Below are 18,051 nucleotides of genomic sequence, written 5' to 3' on the forward strand. Positions count from 1 at the left end.
ATTCTATTTTTTTTTCCAATGAGGTTCCTCAGATCTCTTGTGTAATGTGGCAGGAAATACTTATAGATAAGGAAGACATTGTTCAGGTGAAGTATCTTGTTCATGATCTCATGAGTTAAGAGTGAAAACTCATGATCTCATGAGTTAAGAGTGAGTTAACAGTTAAAAATCTAGCAGCAAAAAGGAAAGCTATCATTAAAACGAAGACTGTAATAAATACCAGTATCTTACAGATTCAGTAATAATAAATGTGTAATTTCTTTCACAGTGGGATGTGTAGAAAGGTCACTTCAGTATGATGATAAGGCAGTCTTACAAAAACAGTTTTGAAAGGGCTTAACAAACAACTTTTTTTTTTTAAAGCAGGCCACAAAATATAAGTTAGTGTTCTTACTATTACTACTGTCGAAAGGCTGATATATCTGAAAGCAAAAACCTGACAAAGTGAGAGTATATGTAGTAGAGATCAGTCCTCATTTGTGAAAATTCTTAGCTTCCTAGGATACTGATCTGTCACAGGTTTGCATTAATGTGTATGCCTGAAATAAAAGCACGTACCTATTTTGTAGGACATGACTTAAATATCTTGCTACAACTTGAGGGCAGATGATATCATCCCAACCAAAAAGTTGAATAATTGATATAACTGGCTGAGGCTGAAAATCTGATGGAGCTGTGCTTGGCATGTCCATTGCTAGCAAAGTAAAGTCTAGATTCAAAATGAGAGAAACTTAAAGTCAGGAATCTTTAAAAACCATTTCTGACCCACACACCCCTGGCCAATTATAACAAGTGTTTTTTTTTTTTTTAAGTAACAAATAATAAAATGTTCTACTTAGAAATGTAGAGCAAACAAAAAGCTAAAACTGAACAAATTCATGTTGTCATAGAAATTTCTGTAGCATCTAGATCTCCAAGAAAGGCCTAGAAGAATTTATCTCTGCATTATCATTACAGATCTATAATGGCTCCCTCTAATTACAAATTCTATGCCTGAGGTTTTGGCTAATGTGCCTCCACCATTCAAAAGACCTATTTATAAAATATGTCCAGCATCTAGTCTTCTAAGGAAGCAAATTTGCCTGTCATCTGCCACAGGTGAACAGTTCCTTCTCACCTTAGACACTGGACATTCTCTTCTATTAAACAGAGATCTCCTACAATCAATGACACTCCACTTCCTTTAGAACCCACAAAGTCTAGGAACTAGAATTCCTTAGTTAACCATGCTAAACAAATATGTTTTATTTTGTGATTTTTCTTGGGAACCCATAAACTCATTTTGTATGATATTAATTTGTTTGCCAATACATTATTTATTAAGAACTCCTATGCAGCTTTCTGAAACGGGGTGGCTGTCTATTTTCCCACTCCCCGTATACCACTTGATCTACCAACAGGGTGAGATTACTCCTTGGTCCACATTGCTGCTTCTAGACTATTCTCCCCTCTTCCTCCCTAAAATTGCTAGCTTTGAATTTCATATCATCAGGTTATATCAGTCACTATCTTTGTTGCATTTACCTACTACTTCCTAGTTCACCTCCTCCTCTCATTCTTTGTAGACTGTAGCTCACTATCATGCTCTCCAACAGCACTCCTGCCATAATCTTTTGTGATTATTTTTCTCCAGTGTCATGGACTCTTGATTTCTTGAACTCCTCTGATTTAATGAATCTATCTTCCATTCTACGTCAGCCATTCACTCCCATGCTGATACCCAGCGACCTTGGCATTACCAGTAACTACAATCTCAGTAATTTCAATTGTAAAGTACCCCAATTTTTGACTCCAAACTAGCTTTCCAACTTTCCTCTTCTCCCCCAACTCCAACAATTCTTTGATTCCATCAGGACCTAAAATCCACTGATCCTACAACCATTTCCTCATCCCTCCTTGTCTCCATGCCTTCCCTGTCCCTTTTTAGGACACTTGATTGCATGGTCCATTATTATACTCATTCATTTATACTACCAACTCTTGCTCCTTTCTTGATTTGTGTACTCGCCTGGAAAAATCATCACCTGTTTAATTCAAACTCTTGGCCTTTTCCCCACATGTACCAGTATTAAATGGCTGAAGAAGAACCATGCTGACTGATACCACTTTACATTTATGACTACAGACTTCAAGTAGGCTCTTAGAATTGGCCAGCATTCCTATGACATTTCCCTAGTCCATTCAGTCTTTTATTCTCTTAGGGTACAATTGCATATCTTCTCTTCACTCTTCATCAACAGCCAGCACCTTCTGCCCCTTCCTCATTTTCAGCTGATGGACTGACTTAATACTTCACAGAGAAACAAGAAACATCAGAAGAGAACTATCACAAGCTGCTACCACATTTACGCAGTTGCCTTCATCTGGGCTCACTTATTCTGCCTTCTCTTCTGCTACTAGAGATGAACTGAGGCCAAGTTCTCTATAAGATCCCATTTTATCTGGGCACTAAAACAAAAGTGACTTTGTTTGTACCATGCAATTTTCCTTCACTTTGGAGCATTCCTGTCAGCATTTTAAATATACTGAAATGTCTCCCATGTTATTTAAAAACCAAACAAAAACAAACCTTCCTCTTTGACCCCTCTAGCTACTATCCCCATTTTTCTACTTCTCTTAAACAGTGATATTCAAAAAGATTAATCTAAATTTGCAGTCTGGAATTGCTCTTTTCACCTTTTCTCTGGAATCATCTTCTATCAGGCCTTTGCCTCTCCACTACATACAAACTGCTCTTTCAGGTCACCAGTGACTTCCCTCTTATTAAATCCAATGACTAATTCTCAGACCTTATCTCACTTGATCCATCTATAGAAACTGAGCTGTTGATCACTTTCCTCTCTTTGGGCTCCACGGCACCACACTTCCCTGCTTTTTCTTAACTTACCTTCATTCCTCTCCAGTCTCCTTTCTTGTTTCTCCTGACCCTACAAATCTGAACAAAGGAATACCCTAAGGCCCAGTCCTCAAACTTTTCTTTTCATCCATACTTGCTCTATGGGTGATCTCATCCAGTTTCATGGTTTTAAAGAATTATTTATATATGGATGCTTTCCAACTTCAAATCTCTAGCTTGGACCTCTTCCTGAACTCTAGGATCATTATCTAAGTGCCTACTTAACATGCCTACTTGGATTTAATGAACATCTTAAAAAAAATTACCAAAAATGTTAATCTTCCCTCATAAAATCTGTTCTAGCCTCAATCTTCCTCATCTCAGCAAATGGCTATAGTTACCCTTAATTCCTCTCTTTATCTATTTGGTTACCGTATCTTACCCACTTAGCAAATTCTGTCATCTCTACCTTGAAAATACTTTCTTCAGATGGGAAACCTGACCACTTCTCACCACCTCTACTGCCACCACTCTAGCCACAGCTGCTCATTTTTGGGTTATTACAATAGTTCCCTAACTGCCTTCCTGCTTTTCCCCTTGCCTAGTCTTCCTATAAGTCTAGCCTCAACCTAGCAGCCAGAGGACTCTTATCACTCCTCTGCTCAAAACTTTTCAACAGCTTCCAATCTCAGAGTAAAACCAAAAGTCTTTATAACCACTTACAAGGCAGAACACAAACTAGCTCTCCATTACCTCTTGATCCATCTCTTAGTTCTCTTTCCCTTTCTCATTCCACATGAGCCTTTGCTGCTTCCCTATAGTTTCTCAAACACACCAGACATGTTCTTGCCTTCAGACTTCTGCAAAGCATGGTCTCTCATCTCCTTCAGTTCTTTGCACAAATATTACTTACTTGGGCCTTCCTGACCACTCTATTTAAAATCACAACTGCCTCTGGCCTTCTGTATTCCTATCCTATATTCCACTCTTTCCCACAGCATTTATCACCACACATTACACTATTTACTCATTTAGTGGTCTTCCTATGCCCCAACACTAGATTATGAGCTCCATCAGAACAAGTATTTTTGTCCTTCTTCTCCATTAGTATCTCTCCAATGCCTATTAAACTAGGTATTCAGTAACTTTTTTTAAATGAAGAAAATCATTCTCTCCTAAACTATCAAGTCTTTATTTCAAATCAAAGCCAAAGTACACATATTTTGCTTTCTATTTATATACCATTTATCTTCAGCATCTAAGACAGCACTGACTGAACTGATGCATTATTATTTTTGTTGACTGGCAGTTGGGATGATGCATGTACACAAGTTATATCATCTATTAATGACTGCTTAAACTGGCTGAATATCAATATTTATTTTCATAGACATTACAGTAGTTGGAAAATTGTTGTCCTGTCACAATTCTTTAATCTATCATCGTAAAGTCCTAATTATAGAAGTGTTATCAGAATTCAAAATCTTTTCAAATTTAAATCATTAGTCTTTTACACAGCACTTTAAGCTCAGTTTTCCTCGTATACACTAGGATAAATATTGGTTTAAATCTTAGGTTTTTAAAACTATTATTTAAAAATAAATTAAATACCTTTAAATGGACTTCATTCAAGTACATGGAGTTACCATACTAATCACTGTCTATTCCAATACTTCTTAACATATTTTGAGCAAAATACCCCCTTGAGAAGACAATGGCCTCTTCTTAGAAATGATATATATGCGCATATATTCAAATTCTTACCTATAATTTCATGAGATCCAGAGTCCCTTAAAGCCTAAGGACATGTCTTTAGGTTAATAATCAAATTAAGTAAAAATTACAACTTAAAGTAGAATCTAGTAGAAGTCAGAACAATAACATCCTATATATTCAGTGTCATTCTGATCTCATCTTCTTGGGATTGAAGTGGTATTTATTTTATATTCTTTTGCTCTTTACACAAATTAACTTCATCTTATACCTATGTATCTGCTCATACAATTTGAAAATAAACTACTTGAATCACACGTAATCAAATGCTAGTTTACCTTCCAAAATATTACATGCATAAGAAAAGCTTATGTATATTCAATATTTTCAGGATAGAAAATTATCTTATTTTTAGTAAATAATCATTTAATTTTTAGCAATAAATAAGCCAAAGGATCCCAATTTATTAATATGTAATTTGTTTCATCTTTCTGGCTGACAAAATGTTTGCTATACAAGAGTTTGTTACTAAGAAAATAAAGGAAAATACTGACAAAGAGTCTGCAAAAAGAGAAATTAGCAAATTAATAATTAATGCTGACCTGCAGCTGCATCCGCAAGTTGTGAGAAAGGCACTACCTGTGACATTCTCTGACTCTTCAAAAATGAAAAGAAATGTCTCCACAGTGCACTGGCAACTGCAGCAAGGTGGCGCTCTTTAGCCGATAATGAAGACTGTACAAATAGGTCCACATTGTCCCTTTGAAGTTCCTGACACAATTGTTGATGCATACTCCTAAAAAGAAATAAAAATACAGCTAACACCCTTAATAAATGCTTACAAAAATCTTCTTAAAGTACATTTTGAGCTTTTTCCATTTATATCATATGAGAAACATTTTATATAATTAAAACCTTTATGCCAAGACATTATGCATTTCTGGTTGTTTGATGGATGAATGATGGCATATTAAGCATCATAAAGTTAATGTTAACTACTAATGTCAACCATTAATTATATGCTTTTTAATATGTCAGATCCAAATGAGAAAGAGGCAGCTTCAGAATGAAGGTCTGCATTTTGCAACTCACACATGACAAGTGATTTTTACTTAAAATCTAGACATGAAAACAATTTTTAAAACAATTTTCTCCTGAGGGCTTTAGGACATGGATGTACCAAGAGGAAGGTAAGTACAACTGGCTTATGCGTGGTATTTTAAATTAAAATACTTTCCTTGTTTAGAAGACACAGGCCTTGTGTAGTAGACAAAACTATGCTAGATACAATCTTACTACTTTGGTCCCAAAAGATTCATAATCATTCTCACTTGGTAGGCAATAATATACAATAACAAGTTGCTCTTCATAAAATAATAAAACATAATTCGATACTGCCTCAAATTTTGATTAATCATTTACTCACCTTTGCTGATTAATTCAATCGAAAATTTAGATATCTCTAGACCTTAATAGAAACGTGCAGGAAATTGAGGTTACCAAAGAGAGGGAAATAAGAGATCTTCTTAGTGATGTGGAACAGAAGGCATTTATGTTGTGCACCCACTGATAATATGATTATTTAAAACTAAATGTACAACCATGCTATTATTCCTGTTTCTGTTTATATTACTGCCAGATCAACTGAGTAGACATAAATGCATGGATACATTTACATTTGCATTTTTTTTTCAATTATACAGAAAGCAGCAAAAAATAACCAATGGAAATTATGGAGAAGACTTCCTTTAATAGAGATAGCATTCCACTAAGAAAAATAATTAAGTACTTTAAAAAAGATGTTTGATGTTTTTAAACAGTTTAGGGGAAGTGGATAACATGAAAGAACTATACAAAACACAGAACTAGCATGTGTATCTAAAGCAATCCCACAAAAAGATCAAGCTGGTTATAAGATCACATCTTAGAATATTTCGCATAACTACCCAAGAGTGAGTAAAAATTCTAAGTATAAACTGTATAACATTAGGGCCTTGAGCCCCTTTACATTGGAATTCCTGGAAAATTATGGGATATTACTTAATACTACAGGAAATATTCAAAAAACAAGTGAACAAATGGCTGGGGAAAGAGTATACAGTAAACAATTCTCATAAAAGCTAACCAAATATCTGCTATGTCCTCTCTGTAAAAACTTCTTGAGATGCTTTCAACTTGAACTAGTGGCTAGAGAACCATTTCAGTTCCTTTATCTTAGAGTGAGATAAATAACAAACCACTAAAATCTATCTGGCAACTAACTCAACTGCCTATATCAACATAGCAAAGTTCACAGTACATTTCTACACAGTGGAATCCATGTAAAATAATACCACCATTTCTACTGCCCTTTATAGCTTTTTCAAAGTATATTGGTTTCAAAAGACAATAAATAACTTATGGTACTTGAGTAGGATGGATTTTGCTCACCATATCTAAAAAAGCCATTTTATTTACTAACTAAAACCTATTCCCTAGGAAGGAGTAACATTTCTGATCGACCTCTATATATGTGCTAGAAATTCCTTAAATTAATTAAATTCTTTTAAAATCGGAACAACTCTATGAGATAGGTATCATTAATCCTCTTTATAGATGACGAAGCTAACAGTAGGAAAGCTAAATATGCCCAAAGGTCACATGGCTAGAAAGGGCTGGCCCCATCATCTGAACTTAAATCTGACTCTGAAGCCCACTTTTCTTTTTACACACTAAGACATGCACCCTTATGCGCCTACACATACACAAGTTTTAAGTGAATTAAACATTGATAAATTATCTTCTCTTTCTACTTAGGTTAAAGAAATTTCATCCCAGCACTTTGGGAGGCCAGGGTGGGTGGATCACTCGAGGCCAGCAGTTCAAGACCAACCTGACCAACATGGTGAAATCCCCTCCCTAATAAAAATACAAAAAAATTAGCCGGGCATGATGGTACACGCTTGTAATCCCAGCAACTCAGGAGGCTGAGGTAGGAGAATTGCTTGAACCCAGGAGGTGGAGGTTGCAGTGAGCCGAGATTGTGCCACTGCACTCCAACTTGGGTGACAGAGCAAGACTTTCTCAAAATAATTTAAAAATAATAATAATAATAAATAAAATAAAGGAATTTCAGAAAGCTTAAGAAAAGGGGCTGGAAAAGCCACATGTAGCTGTGTCTTTTGAAGGGCCAGGAGCAACATCAGAATTCTAACATTAGGAAAGACTATAAGAAGAGATGCTAGAAAACATGTATTCAAGGCAATAATGAGAAAGGCCAACAAATGTGAACCACCTTTGACCTCTCCACAACAAAACGTTGAGGTACCAGGGAGTATAAGTATGAGCTAACGTGGGGATAGGACTCAAAGTTCTGAATCCATTAGGTTTAAAAAAAAAAAAAAAGCCGAGTGCAGTGGCTTATACCTCTAATCCCAGCATTTTGGGAGGCTGAGGTGGGTGGATTGCCTGAGCTCAGGATTTCAAGACCAGCCTGGGCAACATAGTGAAACCCCATCTCTATTAAAAATACAAAAAATTAGCCGGGCGTGGTGACATGTGCCTGTAGTCCTAGCTTCTTGGGAGGCTTAGGCTGGAGGATTGCTTGAGGCAGAGGTTGCAGTGAGCTGAGATTGCACCACTGCACTCCAGCCTGGGCAACAGCGAGACTCTGTCTCCAAAAAAAAAAAAAAAAAAAAAAAAAAAAGAATAATTAATTAAAAAAAAAAAACCATTGTGAGGTAAAAAATTTTAAAGCTATAGATTACATCCTCCAAGGTTGAGTTAAAACAGCTAAGACAAGTTTCAACTAAGGGTAAGACACTGACCCCAAACCACACTTGTGTTGGAAATGTGCACCCACTTTGTGTTTTTGGATTTGAAAAGCAGCTAATATCCCCGGGAATATGCAAAATGTTTCCTGCTCAATAGTTTGAAAGTTCAAGCTTTTTCAGTCTGGATAAGAAGAAATGATTACCTGCTATTTTAAACCAGAACCTAGTTGTTTAAGACCTTATAATAATAATTTATTTAAGCATAAAGAAATCAGTGAGTGACAAATACAGGAAATGCCAAGAGTGCACTGTAATAGAAGTCTGAAGGAAGAACCAAATTTTTGCACTATAGCCAAATAGCTAGAAATACTCCTTGCAGACACTGGTAATTTTTTAAAATCACATGTTTGAACCAGAAAACTAATTATACAGACTACTGAAAAATAAATTATATTAGATGTGACCACTGCATATCTGCTGAAGGTACATTTACAAAAATGCAAAGAAGAAGCTCTGTCACTAGAGGTAACAATGTAAAAGAAAACACAAAACATACATAAAATATTATAAAGAATGTAATATAGTTCTAGGTGATGGCTGTTTTATGAGGCATTATTTACCTTCTTCAACACAAACAGTAGAAATATGTAAGTAGATTTTTTGCATAAAAGGAAAAATATGTGATTTCTGGTCAGAAACTGAAAGACATAACACAAGGATGTAGGATCTCCCAACACTTGGCAATTGTTTTATTTGAGTAAAGACAGATTTCACATTAAGATCAGTTTGGAAATACAAGATCAGATAAGGAAATACACACATGTAACCAGCTCTCTTACATTATAAAAGATACAATACAGTATAGTAGAAAATAAATTTGCTGAATGTCAAGTTATTCAAATTGCAGCTCTCATGGTGGAAATAACAGCAACATCCAGCATTTACTGGTATTTACTATGAGACCAGCACCATGCAAAGTGTTTTATAAGCATCGTTTCTCACCCTATGAGGTAGGCATAATTATTATTCAAATCTTATATATGAGAAAATTGAGACAAAAGGAGTAATTATGCTGCGTAATAAACATGGTTATTAGCATAGCTATCCAGAGCAGTGTGGCTTTGGAAAAACAAGTAACCTCCCAACTCGCTGTTTTCTTTAGAGTCAAGAACAGGAACAATTGTTGCTATATCCACCTAACAGGGTTATTGTGAAGACCACAGGAAATAACATTCTGAAAAGTTTAGAAGCCTATCATTACACTATATAAACACCCACACTTTCACATACCAATTATCCAGGTGTTCCTACGCTTCTATTTTAGCTCAGTTACCCTGCCTCCTTTAGCTTTCCTCATTATCTTCAAGTATTTTCCTGATTCTTTCATCTGACTGCTCTTTTGCCCCACTTTCCAAGATTTCCTGTTTTTATTTGTCTGCTACTTCTTGCTTTGATTTCATGTTTACTTATCCATTTTGCCCCCACCTCTCTACTCCCACACAGATACCTTATCCCCACAGACACACAAATTTATTGAGGCATCTATCATATGAGACGCATGGAACCCTGTACCTGAAACTTCTACCTGCCAGTCTGGTCTCTCAGTTTCTGCTCCTCCCTAGTAACTTAGGCAGGCTTCTGGGAACACTTACTGGACCACTGCTTATAGTTTTCGCCTCTAATCTTGGCATACCATTGTTTCTCCTATAACTGTTATAGAATAAGGTATGACATCCTATATACCACTTTCCTGGTATTCACAGTTGTATATTAATTATTTCTAATACATGATGCCTCAAAGTTTAAGGAAAATTAAAATTGTCTATTGATGGACTTTTCATCACATGGAAAAAGCATAATATAATAAATATGACTGGTAAGGATTAACAGCAATAATTGAATTCTTTTAACTCTACTGCAAACATGGTAACTTTAAAAAAATCTTTATTAGTGAAAAATATAATGGAAAATTTTAAGTCAAAAAGTTGTTCCAAACCACTATGAGTAATTATTCCAAGTATCTTATTGATCTGATGGAAAACTAAATGGGAATCAGGACACTCTATAACCATTTTTAGCTTCAGCTAAACTCACTAAAAAATCTTAGACACTGAATCCTCTCATCATACTTGCTTGTATCTGTGAAACAGGGCTTACTCTGCCTTATTATCCAGGAAGAATATAACATAACTAAGGTAATGGCATTATCAGAAAAACAAAAAATCCCTGAAATTTAAACAGTGGAAGTTATCCAAAAAATCATCAATCCAATCTTGTCTTCAAAAAATGAGAAAAAACAATAGACAACTTCTAGGTATGAAGAGACTTTTACAAAGCCTCAATTTGAGATAATGGTAGTTTCAATCCTGAGTCCCAATCCTGTGCATGCCCAAATTGTCAGGGAGAAACCAGGCTGGCAAGTAGCATTCAAGCACACTTTGCAATGCCTCCATGTAACAGACACCCCAGTACATCTGTGTGTCTGTGCATATGTGGAGGAGGGGGTAAGTAGGTGGTAGACGGATGGATGGATGGATGGATGGATGGATGGATGGATGGATGGATGAATGAATGAATGAATATGTGAAATCAAAGCAAGAGTTTATTGACTGTTTTGATGATAAAGCACAGCAGTGGCAATGATGCTTACCGTCACATATAATTACAGAGAAAAATAAGGGCTCCTTGAGATGCAAGGAGAATTCTTCAAATGAGCTCTTGTCTAAGACAGAAAAGATCAGCTTGTGACTCTGGAAAACTACTAAGCCTCAGTTTTTCATCTGTTAAATGGAAATAAGGCCCTACTGTCCTCTATGGAGCTGCTAAAGCATTAAAGTCACAGCATTTAGGTAAAAATACTTTGTAGACAAGGCAAAATAATATGCACTTTCATAGACTGTAAGGCAAGACAATATGCACTACTGCTTCTAAATCCTAATAAACATGTTCTTAGAGGCATTCGAACATCACTAGAAAGATACAAGCTTTGGAGACAGACATACTAAAGTATACATCCTATTTTGCCAATTAGCAGTTGGATGGTCATTTCCTCATCTGCTGCAAGAATTAAATAAGACATATTCAATAAAGAGTAACTATTAGGGTTGGCCAGAGAATTAAAAACTGTTTAATGATAATATATGTACTAGCCCTATTCTAAGTGTTTGACCTTTTATAACTAATTTAATCTGTAGGTACTTTATTGTCCTCATTTTATAGACAAGGAATCTCAGTACAGAAAGGATAAGTAATTTGCTTGGGTCATGCTCTTAGTAAGCAGCAGAGCCAGGATTTGAACCCAAACAGTCTAGCTTCAATACCCCAATTCATAATCACTATGCTACAGCTGCCTCAAATACCATTTTACTACACAAATAAATAATACATGCTCCAAATGTCGCATTGCTGTATTCACTCATTCATATGTAAGTTCTTAATAAAGGTAGTTATAAAGTAGTATAACAGCTAATCCCAGGTGATATACCAGATGCATACATGTTAAAAGTTTAATACTTCTGGGGAGTGCCAGGCTCTATAGGGATTCCAAAGGTCAACGATGTGTGATAATTTACAATTTTCCTATGCTCCAAAATTGACTTAGTTTGCAAGACTGGGAAAGAACAACAAATCAGGAATCCAGTGATGAACCTAGCAAACCAAGCATGCCTATAATAATGCTGTCTTACATACAATAAAAGGGGTGAAGTGCCTAAAATGAAGTTGCTTGCCTGTGTCCCAAAAACAGTAACTAGCACTGGTATGAAAACATACCAGTAAGAAGTCATCATTTTTAGAATTTACCCTCATATTTTCATTAGTCTTGACTTTGTAGATGATTATGAGTATAAAATTACTTAAGTTTTTCAGTTACGTTTCACTGTATTTTATAACACAGTAGTAACAAGGATCCACTTCCTTGTTATTATTGTAAGTAGTTCCCAATGTTGACTACCACCAAAATTATCTGTATATCTTTCTACAAATTTACTAATGTCTTGGCCTCACTAAAGATCTTTCTGCAACTTCAGCATTGGGCCCAATCATAATATTTACTATTTGTTTTTAATTCCTGACGCAGTTGGTCTGACAGTCTACATTTCATTTGTTTATTTTATTTATTTATTTATTTTTTGAGACGGAGTCTCGCTCTGTCACCCAGGCTGGAGTGCAGTGGCAAGATCTCGGCTCACTGCAAGCTCCGCCTCCTGGGTTCACACCATTCTCCTGCCTCAGCTTCTCGAGTAGCTGGGACTACAGGCGCCCGCCACCACGCCCAGCTAATGTTTTTGTATTTTTAGTAGAGACGGGGTTTCACCGTGTTAGCCAGGATGGTCTCGATCTCCTGACCTCGTGATCTGCCCACCTTGGCCTCCCAAAGTGCTGGGATTACAGGCGTGAGCCACCGTGCCTGGCCTCATTTGTTTATTTTTGAGACAGAGTCTCGCTCTGGTGCCAGGCTGGAGCGCAGTGGCGCCATCTCAGCTCACTGCAACCTCCACCTCCTGGGTTCAAGCAATTCTCCTGCCTCAGCCTCCCGAGTAGCTGGAACTACAGGTGCGTGCCACCATGCTCCGCTAATTTTTGCATATTTAGTAAAGACGGGGTTTCATCATGTTGGCCACGATGGTCTTGATATCTTGACCTTGAGATCCGCTCACCTTGGCCTCCCAAAGTGCTGGGATTCTAGGCGTTAGCCACCATGCCCGGCCGAGGGTCTACATTTCTACCAGGCAGATGCTGCTATCCTATGGTGCACCATGCTGTGGGCAGTCACCTTCTTGGCTTTCCTCATCTAAAAAAAAAGGGATAATAATAGTACCTACAGAATTACATTAATAAAGGCCAAACACTTAGAATAGATCTGGCATATATATTTTCAATAAACAATCTTTGATTTTCTGATCAATAATTATTTCATTTATTGAATAGGCCTTATTTAATTCCTGCAACAGATAAGGCAATGACCATGCAACTAGCAGTTCATAGACTAAGTAACAAGATCATACATAATCCTGTCATGGAGGAGGATTGAAAATACTCCTTTACTCTATAGGTATAAGTGCAAAACAAAGTATAAGATTGTTTTACCAACTCAGAGGAGAAAAACCTTTGGGGGGAAGCACAAGAAAATGGGCGTGGAAGAGATTCTCAAAGGATAGGTAAGGAGTGTTTAGGTGAAAAGGAGGAAAGTAAAAACACAAAGGTATATAAAATCAAATCACTTACTCTCTAATTCAACATATACAGCATACGTTCTAAGCAGTAGGGTACAAAACTAGCAAACAGACAAAGTCTCTGCCCTCTGGAACTTATATTCTAATGAGAGACAGATAATTAAACATACAACCATGTAATACCTGAACTTGTGGTGAGCTTTATGTATAAAAAAGAAATCACAGTATGGGGATGATGATTGATAGAACTTTGTACAATAACATTGTACTTGTACAATGATCAGGAAACATCTTTTAAGAAGGTGACATTTGAGCAAAGAACTAAATAAGTAAGGGAGGGAAACACACAGGTATATGGGGAAGAATATTCCAGTGAGAAGAAAAAGTGCAAAGGTGCTGGGCCTGGCACAGTTTCACAGACTCAAGGAACAACAACCAGGAGTCCAAAGTGGCTGAAGCACAATGGGTGACAGATGAACAGCAGATGAACTGGAGAGGTGGCAGGGTTCCAGACCATGTAAGATCTTGTGAGCCATGTAAGGACTTTGGATAAAATCCAAGTGGATAACAAGCCAGAAAAGCAGAAGTGTAATATAATTTACATCTTAAAAGGAATATATAAAAGAACAAGGTGTTTGAAGAATGAAAAAAACGTAACCACTTTGATTATAATAGAGAATTTTTATAGTAGCATTGGAAGGCAATAAATTTAAGAATACAAATGGTGTTCCATTTGTTCAGTCATATGTTTTCTTCATTCACTTCAGAAGAAGTTACTCAGTGCTAGTCACTATGTCTGATGCTAGAGATACAAAAATGGTTAATCCTGCTGTTAAAAGAAAAATCAAGACTTCATTCTTAAAGTGGTAAGAAGACACTGAAGGATTCTGAACTGGAGGGTGATATAATGAAAAAAGTGCTTTGGGAAAGATTAATCAGGTAATGGCAAACAGAATGGGTCAGAACAAGAACTGACTAAAGATAAAAGAAACTAATTAAGAAGCTTCTGTAAACATCCAGGTAAGAGCTAATGTGCATTTTCAGTTACTTTATGAAGGAAAAAGCCAACACTAATTATTTCGCATTTTGTGAGGGAAAGGAAGGAGCAGCCTGTCATTGCCAAATTTTGGGGGAGAAAAACTGAAAGTTACGAGGGACAGTTAATTATAACAGGAGGATATAATTTGATATGAAAAGAGAAAATTGAAGTAACACTATCGAAAATATTTTTGGAAATCTGGACCTAGAGTCGAAGAGTACAATCAGACTCAGGAATCATTCTACCTAATAGTTCAGATCATCTTAATGAACACGTCAATGTCTGTTAATTACATGAGCCATTGTACTAGATGTTATCAAATATAGTCCTTCCTTTCAAAGAATGTACAGTTAAGTGCCGAGACAGAGGTATGTAAAGAGTAAAAAACAGGATTCAAAGAAGACTTCCTGGAGAAGACATGCCATTACCTGTTACAGAAGTCATATTAGTTAATTAAAAAAATAATAGAGTTGCAGAAAGTTAAAATAACATGAGTAAAGCATAGTGACATGAAATTGCATGGTACATGAAGGGATTCACAAACAGTGTGGTATTACTAGTAGACGGTATTACCTTTAGTCAAGTGCCAGTAACTATAGTATTGATAAGGAACTGTAGTACTGATAAGAACAATGTAACTATACATTTGTATAATGTAACTATAGTATTGATAAGGAACAGGTCATAGAGGATCATGTCATCTCAAAAAGTTAGAGCCAAAAGTAAAGTCTTTAAGGTAGCTGGAAATGAGAGAAAACCAACTTATATACCCAACATATATATTCCTCATGGTTTGTTCCCAGATAATCTAATGCTTATTAAGGATTGCCTAATATATTTATACATTTAAACATCCTCTTTAACTGCACTGTGCTAATGTTACAATGCTAGTTGTCTCTGAAATATTTTCATTAAAAAAACCCAACCTGATGAGTATGTGCAGTGTGACTTTGCACATATACGAATCTATATTACTCATTACAACATACTACACATATATAGATACATAATTATATCTATACATTTGTATATCTATATCTATACATTTTGCCAATGCTTAAGCGTTATCTTATGCTCTCATCTAATAAAAGTGAGCATGGGCAGAGCTACCCATAAGCTTCGGTGCTGACCCATAAGCATCAGCTTCACCTATAAGCATCATTATGACCAACAAGTTATAGTCCTGAAGTTAACACACACAAAAAAAATAAAAATTTTCACGCTGGATGTTAAAATTTAAGTTTTACAGCATCACAAGATGCCTTCAAGGAAATGGTTGAGGGTAAAGGCCACAATTAAGGCTTGGGTACATCCTTTGGCATTATAACTATAAGGAACTACAGACGTCATCGTAGGTTAGTAATTTCTAAAAGAAGAGCAGAATGATCATCATCTGATTGTGACAACTTGCACTGCTTGTATTCAGTTAGGGCTCCCATTTCCAGGAACTCATCCTCCAAATTTAATAGCAAGTGTGTGGGTACAACGTAATGAACGAAAGTAAAAGAGGGGGAGATTATGGCTGAATATGAAGCTAGTCAGTCTCCAAGTTTTCTACTACCAGAGTATCACGTGGGTAGGACCACTAGTTAAGGTCCAGGATCTTTGTCCTTGGGGTTAAAGGCACTCAGAGGTGAGATCATCTCTGAAAATAATCTCACAACAAAATGTACATGCCTTATAAAATATGTGAAGTTGTTATACTGGTTTTTGGGATTTCAAATACAATTATCTTCCTCTTCAAATGTAAATGGATAGGGTATAACTGTGCAAGCACACATGCACTAGATCTTATCCAAAATGTTATGTATTGAATTCTCATAGAAGAAAAAAGAATGAGCTCAGGCCGGGGGGCAGTTAGGAATTGGTGACTAAAAAAGAAAGTTAGAATACAAGCAACAGTGTGAACAAAATATTTATGGAATATGCCCTCATTTTCATTTTGGAAGAGACCACCAATCTATCTAACTTAGCAGCACTGGAGCCAATAATTACTATGATATTAAGAACACCTCACAATCTTTAATTTTCTTCCTCCTCCCAATCCTCCCCCACCCTGCATCTCTATCTCTGTCTTGCTTTGGCTATTCCACTGTTTGCTGAAAAACGTGTAATTTTTAAAATATGGCCACAATTCTTTGACACTTCTTGATTCTGAGAGATCCTGTGACTGATTTGACCAAAGAGCACAGCAGACATGACATTATGTGGCTATAAGGTTTGGTAATAAAAGGCCATAAAGCTTCTGCCTTGTTTGCTGGGAATACTCACTTTTAGAGCCCTGAAATGCAATGTAGGAAGTCCAATGACCCTGAGAATACCCTGTTCGAGAGGCCACAGACAGCACTCAGGTCAACAGTTCCAGCTAAGCTTGTCCACCAGCCATTCTAGCTTAGAAACTAGATGTATTACTGAAGAAGAAGCCATCTAGGAACTGGATCCTCCAGCTTCAGCTGTTCTAGTCTCGGCCTTTAGTTACTCACAGACATTGAATTAGAGTTACTTCCAGACATTGAATCATCCTAGCTGAGGCTCCAGACGTGGTAGAGCAGATAAGAGCTGCCCTTGGCTTTTCAAAGTCCTGACCTACAGAATCTGTAAGCATAATAAAAGGATTGCTGTTGTGGTGTTTTACCCACTATGTTATTACATAGTATATTATGCTCTAAAGGGCATATAAGAAGCACTATGTAGGAATTAGAGATTCAAAGATGAAAAAGATGCAGACCTGACCTAAAGGAATTCACACTTGGGAAGCTTGGGGTGGGAGGTGGGAGGAACAAAGAATTTTATTAGAAATATAACCACAGGGTAGTATCTACAATAGTACAAAGGCAGACTTAGACAAAATAGCTGTTTTAAGTCTCCTAGAAGCCGTTCCCAACAATCTAAGAAATTCTGGACTGGTTTCAGGACAAATGAATTTCAGAGATAAGGGTAATTTTAAGAAAAACTACTTTATTTTTCTACCTATCCAGCACAGAACACCTATATGAAACATATGCTGAGACATTTTATGTATATTATCATATTTCCTCTCAATAAACTTTATTCAGTTCTTGCTGCTTTCAAAAGTTTCATTTTAGTTTTCCCTAGATGTAAGGTATTATGTTTATGAACCTATGGAGACCACCTTTTAAAGCTAATTAATAAAACTATCCTCTAAAAACTAGCTTAGCTCTCACCATCCCAGCAGTCTTTTTCGAAAACAGTAGTACATAGTCACTGCTACCCTCTAATGACAACTGCAATCATTCTACCACATTTTACATGTGGTTAGTGGCTATATGCTATGTGGGGGAGCGTGCATTGCTTCAAAAAAGAAATTTGGAGTCATTTTATTAAAAGTAAAGAGCCAAAGATTTTTGAGGTCAACTATTCCACAGTAAGTAAGCTAGGGCTGAAGTCCATTTGTGAGCATTTTTCCTAATTGTTGGTAATAAATTTTTATAAATAAAGGGTCTAATGGTAATGTTGACTGATTATTAACTACATCAACCCAAATGTTCCCGTCACAGTGAAATTTGCTTTATAATT

General features: G+C 36.4%; 1 protein-coding gene across 23 annotated transcripts in view; it reads right to left on the reverse strand.

Annotated features, from left to right (window-relative positions):
• Positions 1-18,051, reverse strand: part of MMS22L (MMS22 like, DNA repair protein) — a 141,875-nt gene that overhangs the window by 39,185 nt on the left and 84,639 nt on the right. For 20 of the 23 annotated variants that reach the window (XR_942376.2, NM_001350600.2, XM_047418577.1 and 17 more), the window contains 2 exons: positions 5,152-5,345; positions 559-709 (listed from right to left, as the gene is read on the reverse strand). Coding sequence is in view for 22 of the 23 variants with exons in the window: in NM_001350600.2 (NP_001337529.1) it covers positions 559-709; positions 5,152-5,345 (345 nt within the window). In the remaining variant the exon portion in view is untranslated. Of the gene's footprint in view, positions 1-558; positions 710-5,151; positions 5,346-12,964; positions 13,094-18,051 lie in introns of those variants that run through there. The other 3 variants (XM_047418583.1, XM_006715432.4, XM_047418582.1) reach the window with 1 other exon arrangement.

The sequence above is a fragment of the Homo sapiens genome, chromosome 6 (genome assembly GCF_000001405.40).
Source record: "Homo sapiens chromosome 6, GRCh38.p14 Primary Assembly".
In the NCBI taxonomy this organism is placed as follows: Eukaryota; Metazoa; Chordata; class Mammalia; order Primates; family Hominidae; genus Homo; species Homo sapiens.